General features: G+C 38.9%; 1 protein-coding gene across 12 annotated transcripts in view, besides 1 other annotated feature; it reads right to left on the bottom strand.

The window, feature by feature from the left end:
* Positions 1-14,833, bottom strand: part of RAD51B (RAD51 paralog B) — an 863,318-nt gene that overhangs the window by 805,543 nt on the left and 42,942 nt on the right. For 11 of the 12 annotated variants that reach the window (NM_001321818.2, NM_001321809.2, NM_001321821.2 and 8 more), the window contains one exon: positions 12,415-12,551. In NM_001321818.2, coding sequence (NP_001308747.1) covers positions 12,415-12,551 — 137 coding nt within the window. Of the gene's footprint in view, positions 1-12,414; positions 12,552-12,668; positions 12,767-14,833 lie in introns of all 12 variants that reach the window. The other variant, NM_001321817.2, reaches the window with a different exon arrangement.
* Positions 8,429-8,928: an enhancer, noted in NCBI's record as "H3K4me1 hESC enhancer chr14:68335343-68335842 (GRCh37/hg19 assembly coordinates)". NCBI's record gives its function as "activates a minimal SCP1, AML or CMV promoter by ChIP-STARR-seq in naive H9 embryonic stem cells {active_cell/tissue: H9 hESC(naive)}" and the evidence as "EXISTENCE:reporter gene assay evidence [ECO:0000049][PMID:30033119]".

The following is a 14,833-nucleotide window of genomic DNA, read 5'->3' as shown; positions in this document are numbered from 1 at the left end:
CAAATCAAGAATAAAAAGACTAGAAGCCCAATGGGAAATGGGATAAAGATAGATTCATAGACAGAAAGCCCAAATGTCAAACAGGCATTACTGAATGAATGAATGAAAACACTACTTGGATCTTTTCTCGGAGTCAATCATTTTTTCCAACCACAGTTCAGTGGAAAGAGGATATGAGTTCACCTCTCAGCTATCTTATTAGCCATATGATCTTGGGCAAATCACATGGTTTCTGAGTCCCATTTTGCTTATTTCTAAAATGAAGATCATAATACCCCGCTCCTTACCTGACAGTGCTGCTGTATGCATCAACTGAGATGAATGTCAATTATATCATGCTGCAAAATGCTCTAATTTATAAAATATTATTTATAGCATTATCAGTCTTAATGACCCTCACATTACAGAATGGCTAGCATCCCTGGACCACATCTATTTATTACTGTAAAAAAAAAATTTCTTCTTGCACCCCCCTACAAATTCCCAAAATACCTACTAAAGGGGAAACTGTCTGCCTTACTCCCTCAACTGATAACTACTAATTCATAAAATGGAGGTAGTACCATTCTAAAGGGCCATGCTGTCAGAAAAGCTACCTTTATACTCTTAGTCCATCAAACCCCAAAACAATATCCCTGAAAACCTATTAAGAGCTTTATTTCTAAAATCTCCTCCCTCCCTGGATGAATCATTTGCATATCAATTGCTAGTGGAGATGTCCTGAGGTAAAACACCACCGACTTCCCAACTTCCCCTTCCATATCATCTAACTTAGCCTAACCCTACATCCACTCTCAATGTCCCACTGCCAGAACGACTCATTTCTGATACACAAATAATGCTAACTATCAATCCCACAATCAAAGGATTTACTGTGGTAGAATGCCTCAGAAAATGGTTAGAAGTGCTCCTCTTTTAAAAGAAAAAGAAGTTCTAGGCCACATTTTAGTTTTTCTTTTGCCATCAAATCTCACCTGGCAAGTGACTATCTATGCCTTAATTTGGACCTGATAGCTACAATGCACTTTAAAGATTCCAATTCTGGAAAGAGTTAACTGCTCATGGATACAGATAGACTTCTTTCGTAATCAGTTCCAGAATCAAAAGGCATATGTCAATTAAGGAGCAAAACCCTGTACAAAATTATTAGTTCCCTATGTGACTTCATAGCTCTTATATAAAAGGAAAAATAAAAGCTTTTCATTAGTGACCACATGCCAACTTGAAATAAAACATACGCTTAATGTAAAAAGTTTTCCAAAATCTTAGTTAAAATGTAGCATCATAAATATGCTAAAATGTAGGCTTATTGCTTCTCAAAGCTTCTTGTACATACGTACTATATCTCTGTTCATTCATCATTCAATATATATTACTGAATATAATGATATGAATCTATTAATTCATTACAGATTCCAGAATATTCCAAACCTTTGTTACAGTAATAAGTACTTATGACTAATTCTACTTTCTATCTGAGAAACTTTTCAGGATCTCCCTCCCCACTAATTCACCTAGATTCACAAATGATAAGGCAGCTGGAACTGAACTGAGGAAAACCTACCCAGTGTCATGAAACTATCTCAAAAAAATGATTAAGAGGGAATTTATCTCCCCTATTGTTTCTTTCTGGGTCAAAGATTCCAAATTTATACCAACAAGCAAATATGTCAATATGTCAATGGTCTTAAGACCACACTGGTATTACCTTCAGAATCAGCCTGAGTCATGGCTGGCCACTACCACTCCCTGCTATGCCTCCAATTTTATATACAAATCCAGAAAGAATGACACTCTAAATACAGCTGTATGGCGCATAATAATGGGGATATGTACTGAGAAATGTGTCATTAGGCAATTTCACTATTGTGCGAACATCATAAAGTGTACTTCTACAAACCTAGATAGTATAGCCTACTACACACTGAGGCTATATGGTATAGCCTATTGCTCCTAGGCTACAAACCTGTGCAGAGTGTTACTGTACTGAATATTGTAGGCAATTGTAACACAGTGACAAATATCTTTGTATCTAAACTTTAATAAGATACAGAAAAATTATGGTATTATAATCTTATGCAACCACCATCTTATATGCAATCCATCCTCGACTGAAATGTTGTTATGTAGCACATGACTGTAGTTTGCTAGGTGTTAAAGATAACTATCTGTGGGGAACTTGGCACCCTGAGAGGTGACATGCACACCAAATACAGCAGCTTCCTCAGATCTAAGCTTAGCCATTGCTCCCACACACTACCAATACAAGTACCTCTCCTTTGTATACTAAGTTATAATATTTACAATTTCACATTTTAGTGATTATTTGATTAATGTCTTCCTCCCTTGCTGGACTAATTGTCTTCCCAATTTTCAAAGCTTTTCTGATTTCATTACAACTCAGGAATATCCACTTCTACCTCCTAAAATTCCAGTCCTATATCCTACCTCCTCAGGTTCCCACCTTCCAGAGTCCTGGCTCTCATCTCTTACTTCCCTACATCCCTCAGTTTTTCTCACATGCTTATTGATCCCCTTCAATTTGCAGTTCTAAGACCCAACTTTACTTTCCTTTATCCATTTTATTTCTCCAAAAACATTATTTCAATACTTCTATTACTATTTGCCATCCATATTACCTTCATTTTTTATTCTTAACCCACAGTTCCATCTTTTTGTAACTGTCTCTAATACGGACAATATATTGTTAATTCAGTTCATGTAAACTGGAATTCTCATGGTTGCCAAAATTTTCATAGACTAGAATATGGGGATGGGTCACTGGATTAATCTATTTATCTACATTCTCAAGGTATATACAAGCATATGGTGCCTAAGACTATATGAGATCTTAAGCAGAAGTCCAGTAGGTTAAAAAAAAACAACAAAAAAACAGCAGATCTTCTCTGGATCAATCAGAAGAGGATCTAGATCTTTGCCTGAATAGCATTCCCCTCTCCCCAAGGCAGTCCCTGTAACTCAGTCTGGTTAGCGCCAGGCTACACAATTATCTAATTCAAGGGTGTCCAACTTTGATATCCTTGGGCCCCAGAGGAAGAAAAAGAATTGTCTAGGGCCACATATAAAATACACTAACACTAATGATAGCTGATGGGCTTTAAAAAAAAAAATCACAAAAAAAGTCATAACGCTTTAAGAAAGTTTATGAATTTGTTGGGCCACATTCAAAGCCATCCTGGGCTGTATGCGGCCCACGGGCTGTGGGTTCAACAAACCTGTTAAAATTGTTAAATAGTCTGGAGATACAATTGCAGTCTATGATGAACAAGCATGATTAACAACTATTTTAGATTACTATCTTCTAAAAGACATGTAAAATAAATTGGTTAGTGCATTGCTTCTAAAAATAGAACTGACCTTTCCAAAGTGCTTTTAAGTATATCATCTCCTGGGTTTTCTTCTTGTTTTCTTTAATACATTTTTTTAATTAATTAATTTATTATTATTATACTTTAAGTTTTAGGGTATATGTGCACAATGTGCAGGTTAGTTACATATGTATACATGTGCCATGCTGCTGCGCTGCACCCACTAACTCGTCATCTAGCATTAGGTATATCTCCCAATGCTATCCCTCCCCCCTCCCCCTACCCCACAACAGTCCCCAGAGTGTGATGTTCCCCTTCCTGTGTCCATGTGTTCTCATTGTTCAATTCCCACCTATGAGTGAGAATATGCAGTGTCTGGTTTTTTGTTCTTGTGATAGTTTACTGAGAATGATGATTTCCAATTTCATCCATGTCCCTACAAAGGACATGAACTCATCATTTTTTATGGCTGCATAGTATTCCATGGTGTATATGTGCCACGCTTTCTTAATCCAGTCTATCATTGTTGGACATTTGGGTTGGTTCCAAGTCTTTGCTATTGTGAATAATGCCACAATAAACATACGTGTGCATGTGTCTTTATAGCAGCATGATTTATAGTCCCTTGGGTATATACCCAGTAATTGGATGGCTGGGTCAAATGGTATTTCTAGTTCTAGATCCCTGAGGAATCGCCACACTGACTTCCACAATGGTTGAACTAGTTTACAGTCCCACCAACAGTGTAAAAGTGTTCCTATTTCTCCACATCCTCTCCAGCACCTGTTGTTTCCTGACTTTTTAATGATTGCCATTCTAACTGGTGTGAGATGGTATCTCATTGTGGTTTTGAGTTGCATTTCTCTGATGGCCAGTGATGGTGAGCATTTTTTCATGTGTTTTTGGCTGCATAAATGTCTTCTTTTGAGAAGTGTCTGTTCATGTCCTTCGCCCACTTTTTGATGGGGTTGTTTGTTTTTTTCTTGTAAATTGTTTGAGTTCATTGTAGATTCTGGATATTAGCCCTTTGTCAGACGAGTAGGTTGCGAAAATTTTCTCCCATTTTTTAGGTTGCCTGTTCACTCTGATGGTAGTTTCTTTTGCTGTGCAGAAGCTCTTTAGTTTAATTAGATCCCATTTGTCAATTTTGGCTTTTGTTGCCATTGCTTTAAGTGTTTTAGACATGAAGTCCTTGCCCATGCCTATGTCCTGAATGGTAATGCCTAGGTTTTCTTCTAGGGTTTTTATGGTTTTAGGTCTTACATTTAAGTCTTTAATCCATCTTGAATTGATTTTTGTATAAGGTGTAAGGAAGGCATCCAGTTTCAGCTTTCTATATATGGCTAGCCAGTTTTCCCAGCACCATTTATTAAATAGGGAATCCTTTCCCCATTGCTTGTTTTTCTCAGGTTTGTCAAAGATCAGATAGTTGTAGATATGCGGCATTATTTCTGAGGGCTCTGTTCTGTTCCATTGATCTATATCTCTGTTTTGGTACCAGTACCATGCTGTTTTGGTTACTGTAGCCTTGTAGTATAGTTTGAAGTCAGGTAGTGTGATGCCTCCAGCCTTGTTCTTTTGGCTCAGGATTGACTTGGCGATGCGGGCTCTTTTTTGGTTCCATATGAACTTTAAAGTAGTTTTTTCCAATTCTGTGAAGAAAGTCATTGGTAGCTTGATGGGGATGGCATTGAATCTGTAAATTACCTTGGGCAGTATGGCCATTTTCACGATATTGATTCTTCCTACCCGTGAGCATGGAATGTTCTTCCATTTGTTTGTATCCTCTTTTATTTCCTTGAGCAGTGGTTTGTAGTTCTCCTTGAAGAGGTCCTTCACATCCCTTGTAAGTTGGATTCCTAGGTATTTTATTCTCTTTGAAGCAATTGTGAATGGGAGTTCACTCATGATTTGGCTCTCTGTTTGTCTGTTGTTGGTGTATAAGAATGCTTGTGATTTTTGTACATTGATTTTGTATCCTGAGACTTTGCTGAAGTTGCTTATCAGCTTAAGGAGATTTTCGGCTGAGACAATGGGGTTTTCTAGATATACAATCATGTCGTCTGCAAACAGGGACAATTTGACTTCCTCTTTTCCTAATTGAATACCCTTTATTTCCTTCTCCTGCCTAATTGCCCTGACCAGAACTTCCAACACTATGTTAAATAGAAGTGGTGAGAGAGGGCATCCCTGTCTTGTGCCAGTTTTCAAAGGGAATGCTTCCAGTTTTTGCCCATTCAGTATGATATTGGCTGTGGGTTTGTCATAGATAGCTCTTATTATTTTGAAATACGTCCCATCAATACCTAATTTATTGAGAGTTTTTAGCATGAAGGGCTGTTGAATTTTGTCAAAGGCCTCTTCTGCATCTATTGAGATAATCATGTGGTTTTTGTCTTTGGTTCTGTTTATATGCTGGATTACATTTATTGATTTGCATATATTGAACCAGCCTTGCATCCCAGGGATGAAGCCCACTTGATCATGGTGGATAAGCTTTTTGATGTGTTGCTGGATTCGGTTTGCCAGTATTTTATTGAGGATTTTTGCATCAATGTTCATCAAGGATATTGGTCTAAAATTCTCTTTTTTGGTTGTGTCTCTGCCCGGCTTTGGTATCAGGATGATGCTGGCCTCATAAAATCAGTTAGGGAGGATTCCCTCTTTTTCTATTGATTGGAATAGTTTCAGAAGGAATGGTACCAGTTCCTCCTTGTACCTCTGGTAGAATTCGGCTGTGAATCCATTTAGTCCTGGACTCTTTTTGGTTGGTAAGCTATTGATTACTGCCACAATTTCAGACCCTGTTATTGGTCTATTCAGAGATTCAGCTTCTTCCTGGTTTAGTCTTGGGAGAGTGTATGTGTCCAGAAGTTTATCCATTTCTTCTAGATTTTCTAGTTTATTTGCATAGAGGTGTTTGTAGTATTCTCTGATGGTAGTTTGTATTTCTGTGGGATCGGTGATGATATCCCCTTTATCATTTTTTATTGCATCTATTTGATTCTTCTCTCTTTTTTTCTTTATTAGTCTTGCTAGCGGTCTATCAATTTTGCTGATCCTTTCAAAAAACCAGCTCCTGGATTCATCAATTTTTTGAAGGGTTTTTTGTGTCTCTATTTCCTTCAGTTCTGCTCTGATTTTAGTTATTTCCTGCCTTCTGCTAGCTTTTGAATGTGTTTGCTCTTGCTTTTCTAGTTCCTTTAATTGTGATGTTAGGCTGTCAATTTTGGATCTTTCCTGCTTTCTCTTGTGGGCATTTAGTGCTATAAATTTCCCTCTACACACTGCTTTAAATGCGTCCCAGAGATTCTGGTATGTTGTGTCTTTGTTCTCGTTGGTTTCAAAGAACATCTTTATTTCTGCCTTCATTTCGTTATGTACCCAGTAGTCACTCAGGAGCAGGTTGTTCAGTTTCCATGTAGTTGAGCGGTTTTGAGTGAGATTCTTAATCCTGAGTTCTAGTTTGATTGCACTGTGGTCTGAGAGATAGTTTGTTATAATTTCTGTTCTTTTACATTTGCTGAGGAGAGCTTTACTTCCAAGTATGTGGTCAATTTTGGAATAGGTGTGGTGTGGTGCTGAAAAAAATGTATATTCTGTTGATTTGGGGTGGAGAGTTCTGTAGATGTCTATTAGGTCTGCTTGGTGCAGAGCTGAGTTCAATTCCTGGGTATCCTTGTTGACTTTCTGTCTCGTTGATCTGTCTAATGTTGACAGTGGGGTGTTAAAGTCTCCCATTATTAATGTGTGGGAGTCTAAGTCTCTTTGTAGGTCACTCAGGACTTGCATTATGAATCTGGGTGCTCCTGTATTGGGTGCATATATATTTAGGATAGTTAGCTCTTCTTGTTGAATTGATCCCTTTACCATTATGTAACGGCCTTCTTTGTCTCTTTTGATCTTTGTTGGTTTAAAGTCTGTTTTATCAGAGATTCGGATTGCAACCCCTGCCTTTTTTTGTTTTCCATTTGCTTGGTAGATCTTCCTCCAACCTTTTATTTTGAGCCTATGTGTGTCTCTGCACGTGAGATGGGTTTCCTGAATACAGCACACTGATGGGTCTTGACTCTTTATCCAATTTGCCAGTCTGTGTCTTTTAATTGGAGCATTTAGTCCATTTACATTTAAAGTTAATATTGTTATGTGTGAATTTGATCCTGTCATTATGATGTTAGCTGGTTATTTTGCTCATTAGTTGATGCAGTTTCTTCCTAGTCTCGATGGTCTTTACATTTTGGCATGATTTTGCAGCGGCTGGTACCGGTTGTTCCTTTCCATGTTTAGCGCTTCCTTCAGGAGCTCTTTTAGGGCAGACCTGGTGGTGACAAAATCTCTCAGCATTTGCTTGTCTGTAAAGTATTTTATTTCTCCTTCACTTATGAAGCTTGTTTGGCTGGATATGAAATTCTGGGTTGAAAATTCTTTTCTTTAAGAATGTTGAATGTTGGCCCCCACTCTCTTCTGGCTTGTAGAGTTTCTGCCAAGAGATCTGCTGTTAGTCTGATGGGCTTCCCTTTGAGGGTAACCCGACCTTTCTCTCTGGCTGCGCTTAACATTTTTTCCTTCATTTCAACTTTGGTGAATCTGACAATTATGTGTCTTGGAGTTGCTCTTCTTGAGGAGTATCTTTGTGGCGTTCTCTGTATTTCCTGAATCTGAATGTTGGCTTGCCTTGCTAGATTGGGGAAGTTCTCCTGGATAATATCCTGCAGAGTGTTTTCCAACTTGGTTCCATTCTCCCCGTCACTTTCAGGTACACCAATCAGACGTAGATTTGGTCTTTTCACATAGTCCCATATTTCTTGGAGGCTTTGCTCATTTCTTTTTATTCTTTTTTCTCTAAACTTCCCTTCTTGCTTCATTTCATTCCTTTCATCTTCCATCGCTGATACCCTTTCTTCCAGTTGATTGCATCGGCTCCTGAGGCTTCTGCATTCTTCACATAGTTCTCGAGCCTTGGTTTTCAGCTCCATCAGCTCCTTTAAGCACTTCCCTGTCTTGGTTATTCTAGTTATACATTCTTCTAAATTTTTTTCAAAGTTTTCAACTTCTTTGCCTTTGGTTTGAATGTCCTCCCGTAGCTCGGAGTAATTTGATCATCTGAAGCCTTCTTCTCTCAGCTCGTCAAAGTCATTCTCCATCCAGCTTTGTTCCGTTGCTGGTGAGGAACTGCGTTCCTTTGGAGGAGGAAAGTCGCTCTGCTTTTCAGAGTTTCCAGTTTTTCTGCTCTGTTTTTTCCCCATCTTTGTGGTTTTATCTACTTTTGGTCTTTGATGATGGTGATGTACAGATGGGTTTTTGGTGTGGATGTCCTTTCTGTTTGTTAGTTTTCCTTCTAACAGACAGGACCCTCAGCTGCAGGTCTGCTGGAGTACCCGGCCGTGTGAGGTGTCAGTCTGCCCCTGCTGAGGGATGCCTCCCAGTTAGGCTGCTCGGGGGTCAGGGGTCAGGGACCCACTTGAGGAGGCAGTCTGCCCGTTCTCAGATCTCCAGCTGCGTGCTGGGAGAACCACTGCTCTCTTCAAAGCTGTCAGACAGGGACATTTATGTCTGCAGAGGTTACTGCTGTCTTTTTGTTTGTCTGTGCCCTGCCCCCAGAGGTGGAGCCTACAGAGGCAGGCAGGCCTCCTTGAGCTGTGGTGGGCTCCACCCAGTTCGAGCTTCCTGGCTGCTTTGTTTACCTAAGCAAGCCTGGGCAATGGCGGGTGCCCCTCCCTGAGCCTCGCTGCCGCCTTGCAGTTTGATCTCAGACTGCTGTGCTAGCAATCAGTGAGACTCCATGGGCGTAGGACCCTCTGAGCCAGGTGCGGGATATAATCTCCTGATGCTCTGTTTTTTAAGCCCGTCGGAAAAGCACAGTATTCGGGTGGGAGTGACCCGATTTTCCAGGTGCCGTCTGTCACCCCTTTCTTTGACTCGGAAAGGGAACTCCCTGACCCCTTGCGCTTCCCGAGTGAGGCAATGCCTCGCCCTGCTTCGGCTTGCATGTGGTGCGGGCACCCACTGACCTGCGCCCACTGTTTGGCACTCCCTAGTGAGATGAACCCGGTACCTCAGATGGAAATGCAGAAATCACCCATCTTCTGCGTCGCTCATGCTGGGAGCTGTAGACCAGAGCTGTTCCTATTCGGCCATCTTGGCTCCTCCCTCTTTAATACATTTTAAACCTAAGTAGTTTGTATTTATTCCTCCTTTGATTTCTCTCTCCTTCTTAGTAAAAAGATATCTAGATATTTATAGGAAGAAATTATTTTCAACTTTTTCTCACGTACCCTAAATTCTATATATGTGAATCCTTTAATCCTTCATCATATTAATCCTTTAAACACTTTCTCATTTGTGCTGGTTAGCCGGCTAGCTTTGCAAGCACAAAGTGGAGACAATGTGAACACATACAGAGCTACAACATAGTCCTTTTTGCGTCTCATATTTCCCTGCCTTACCTCTTCTCTAAGTCCAGAAACAGCTGGGGCTGGGACAGAAACTGTTAATTACCAATCCAATATCCATTTCCACTTCTTCCTCGCTATGAGAGCCCCAGTTTTATTCAGGCAGCAATATTAACCAGACAACTCATCATGATTGTTACGACGATCTTCTCCCCTCACTTTCCCAGCCTCTTTTTACATATAGAGGTGACTCAGTGAGAAATCTACAAGAGGACTACAGGCAACAAAAAGGAAATCCACAGATGGGAGGAGGCAGATATTATGAATAAAAGTACACTTTCCTGATAAAAGATATAGCTGGCCCTTTTTCTTCACACTGACTTGAGCACAGAATGAATCCGATGTCTGAAAATGTGCATGCCCTAGGTCTCTCTGTCATCACTGAGACCTGAGTGACCCAGTGCCAGCAACCACCTACTCAGGTCTTGTTATATGAGAGAAATAAACCTCTTTTTGTTTAAGCTACTGTTCTTTGGATACTCAGTTATCTGCAGCAGTAAGCTTTCCTAACCGATTGGCCAACCTTTCCTGATAATTCCAAATAGGGGTTAAGCTGTCCTGTAACAGAATGAATGAAATGTGATCAGACACTACAGGGCCAGTTCCATTCTATGACCCACCATGACAAACTAGAAGGTAGTATAAGAATGCCAAATCTGGCATATATATCGGAGAGCATTCATATTTTTTATTCTACTTGGCCCTATCACCAGACCTCAAAATCCATTCCATGTGTGAGCCAGATGATCACTCATTTTAAGCCTTGTGGAGAATGGAATAAAAAACCAAATACAATATAAAGTTCAACCCCTATTCTCAAATGACCTTCATAAGAGCTCCTTGTGAACTATGCAACGTAATTCCAACAAAGGAGCTAAAATATTACCTCTTCATTTTCCAACCTGCCTCTGATGTAAATACCAACATGCACATTGGCAGAAAAAGATATGAAGGAGAAATAAGTAAATATGGGGGATTCAAAAAGTAAATAATTAAGGCTCTATGCAAAGACAAAAAACATAAGACTCTCCACAAATTCATTTGGAAAATGCAGACAAGTCACCTGCTAGTCTTCTGTATGTATGCTGATATCACCCAATTCATTGATAAGGTTTTTACACTGCTCTGAACTGTAATACTGGTAATAAAATAACATGCAACAGTTTCCTCCTTAAGAAGACATCCTAAACTCTGTTTTGTATGTGGTGCAAAGAAAGCAGAAATCCATTACAGTGAACTGAACTGCTGTTATAAAAATAATCTTAATCTTTGAATTCTTTACCCAAATTCCCCAGGACCTTTGTAAGAGCTATTTGAACATTAGCTATTTATGACATAACTGGCTATTTAATACCTACTTGGCTTGTTAGTCGAAGGCTAGTCATTGGCATTTTAAAGAGTACTTGGACAATTTGAGTGAACCAGTCTTTACCAGCTTTAATCTCAAATATATTTTCATGTTCAAATTTCCAGTAGTCTCAATGTTTATTCTTCTGTTCTTTTTTTTAACCATTTATTTAAGTCAAGATCCAAATAAGTTAATCACACAGCAATTGATCAATAAGGCTTTTAAATCTGTTTTAATCCAAAGGTTCCCCTTCCAACTATTTTTTAATCTTACAATTTATTTGTTACAGAAACCAAGTTGTTTGTTCTGTTATTTCCCACAGTTTGGATTCTGCTAATTGCATTTTCTAGAGCAGTTTGATGTGTTCCTCTCTTCTCTAGCTAGGTTGTAAATTGGTGGCTGGATCTGAAGCCTTGATCACATTCAAATTTGATTGTTCTTCCATCAGAAAGTACCCCAGTGACTCGTCATCTTTTTGTGATGTTAAATGCCTAGATCCATTAGATTGTCAGAGTTTGTAATTTGGTGATATTCTATCATTCCTTATTCATTTACTACTGGGATACATTTATAAAAAGACCAATTTAGGCCAGGCGCAGTGGCTCACACCTGTAATCCCGGCACTTTGGGAGGCCAAGGCAGGCGGATCACAAGGTCAGGAGTTCAAGAGCAGTCTGGCCAATAAGGTGAAACACTGTCTCTACTAAAAATACAAAAATTAGCTAGGCCTGGTGGTAGGGCGCCTGTAATCCCAGCTACTCAGGAGGCTGAGACAGGAGAATCGCTTGAACCCGGGAGGCGGAGGTTGCAGTGAGCTGAGATCCTGCCACTGAACTCCAACCTGGGCGACAGAGAGAGACTCCATCTCAAAAAAAAAAAAAAAAAAAAAGCCAGGCACAGTGGCTCACGCCTATAATCCCAGCACTTTGGGAGGCCAAGGTGGGCAGATCACTTGAGGCCAGAAGTTCAATACCAGCTTGGCCAACATGGTGAAACCCTGTCTCTACTAAAAATAGAATAATTAGCCAGGTGTGGTGGTGCATACCTGTAGTCTCAGCTACTCGGGAGGCTGAGGCAGGAGAATCGCTTGAACCCAAGAGGTGGAGATTGCCATGAGCCCAGATCGTGCCACTGCACTCCAGCCCGGCAACAGAGCAAGACTCCATCTCAAAAAAAAAAAAAAGGCAAGGGGGAGGGGTGGTAAATGTTAACCTATGTGTAAATGTTTCATGCTGTATATAAGTTACAAAAGTAAAACATTATAATAGAAAATAAAATCTCATACCTTTCAGCACTAAATGCAGACTCTGTGTCAATGTACACCACAGCTCCTTCTAATCCTCCCATGTTGGTGGGTAATGTAGCCAAAATGCTCATCATTATACAAAACTGAGTTTTTCCACAACCTGGTGGACCTGTAATCTAAAAAAAAAAAAAAAAAAAAAAAAAAAAAAAAAAAAAAAGTTTTTTAGATAAACATCACAAGCCAGTCAAAGCAAAATCCTTTTAAGACTTTGCCATATATGCAGTCCAACTAACCTGGGTTCCCAGGAGAGAATTAAGCCCAAGACATCCATTGTATGGAATGAATTAACTTCTCCCCTCTGCATCTGAATTGGCACTAGTTATGTACCATCCTTGGAGGAATTGAGAAAATAGTCACTCAAATCATCCACTGTATTTTGTAGTTCAGATGAGAAACTTCTAGTTGAGAAAGGCTGAAACATTCACTCATTTATACCATCATAACTTGGCATTCTATACCTTTTCCTCATGAAGATATTTATAATAGGACCTTAAAATATTTAAGAGTCTTTAATAAATGGTTGAGCATTTGTTAAAAATTAGCATTTCAAAACAATGTTGCACTAGTCCCATTAAGGGCTACTTTAATCCATATTTTTAAGAGTATTTAGGGGTGAAGGGTACTGATGTACACAATTTATTTTCAAACAGTTCAGCAAATAAAAATGTGTATGTGTGTGCATATATGTGTGTAGAAAGAGAAATAAAGCAAATTTATTGCTTTATAAACAACTGTTGAGTTTAGGTGATTCCTACTTTGAAATGTCTGTTTTGAAATCTTCATTGGCAGAAAACTATTTTGAGATTATAAAAGTTGAAATCAAAAGAGTATAGACAGGAAATAATAGGAAATTAATTATATCCATATTCAAGTGTAACTAGAAGTAGTTTGGCTCTGTGTCCCCATCCAAATCTCAGGTTGAATTGTAATCCCCAGTACTGGAGGAGGGGGCCTGGTGGGAGGTGATTAGATCATGGTGGCAGTTTCCCTCTTGCTGTTCTCATGATAGTGAGTTCTCACAAGATCTGATGGTTTAAATGTGTGTGGCACTTTCTCTTTCTCTCTCTCTCTCTCTCCTGTTCTGCCATAGTAAGATGTCTCTCTCTCTCCTGTTCCGCCATAGTAAGATGTCTCTGTCTGTCTCTCTCTCTCTCCTGTTCTGCCATAATAAGATGTGCTTGCTTCCCCTGTAAGTTTCCTGAGGCCTCCCAACCATGCCTCCTGTTAAGCCTGCAGAACTGTGAGTCGATTACACCTCTCTTCTTCATAAATTACCCAGTCTCAGGTAGTTCTTTATAGCAATGTGAGAATGAACTAATACAGTAGTTAACAAAATTAATTTGAAAATGTTTAGAAATATCTCCTTTAAACACATGCTATTTGTCACATTAGTTGTGGCGCCCAAATTTTTAGAACCAATGCACTATTTCTTTGTGAAAATAACACTAAAGAACTTTTTTTTTAACATTGAGAGGAAGGGGAGAGGAGAGGAAGGGAAAAGAAAAAAAAATCTAAGAGAGGGAAAAAAGTCTGGGCTAAAACTAAGACATACAATAAAGAAACTGTCTCAGATACATTATGAAGTAGGAAGAAATAAGTAGGAGTGATTCATGAGTCTAAATCATCTAGATATGTGGTTCTCAGATTTGAGTGAGCATCAGAATCACCTGGAAAGCTTGTTAACCAGCATTTCTGGTTCAGTAGGTCTGGGTCATGGCCTGAGAATTTACATCGCTAGTAAGTTCCCAGGTAATGCTGATGTTATTATATACTTTGAGAACCACTGTTTCAGAATTTGGTCTAAAGGTAAACTTCATTTATCAAAGTTCAACCTTAAAACACAAATGTTTAGCACACGCCTGTAATCCCAGAGGCTGAGGCAAGAGAATCACTTGAGCCCAGGAGTTCTAGACCAGCCAGAGCAACAAAGCAAGACCATGTCTCAAAAAAAAAAAAAAAAAAAAAAAATTCCCATATTTAAAACTATATGCTGGTTTATAATCTTTACAATGATCATTTAGACTTTAAGAATAAATAATTACTCCTGTCAATAATAGCTTGCCAGATTATGAGAGATCAGTAAAGAGAGTTCTCCAAACTTATTTGACCACATACCCCAACAAACCAGCCAAAAAAAGCAATCAAAACAAAATTTAGTACAGCCCTCCAATATATGCATATTTATTATGAACATACTATTTTACTAATATGTCCTATAGAGTATAAAACACACACAAAGTATGAATTAAAAATTATAAACATTAAAAATCATTTTATAATATTTATTACTTATATAAAAGATCTGTTTGCTCTCATAAAAGCTTACCATTTTAAGTAGAGCAATGATAATAATGAAAATAATAAGCCAAATTGTATCTTTAAAAAATAATAATGTAAA

This window comes from Homo sapiens, chromosome 14, assembly GCF_000001405.40.
Source record: "Homo sapiens chromosome 14, GRCh38.p14 Primary Assembly".
NCBI lineage: Eukaryota > Metazoa > Chordata > Mammalia > Primates > Hominidae > Homo > Homo sapiens.
The sequence above is the reverse complement of the archived record's forward strand: the minus strand, read 5'-3'. Positions and strand labels throughout refer to the sequence as shown.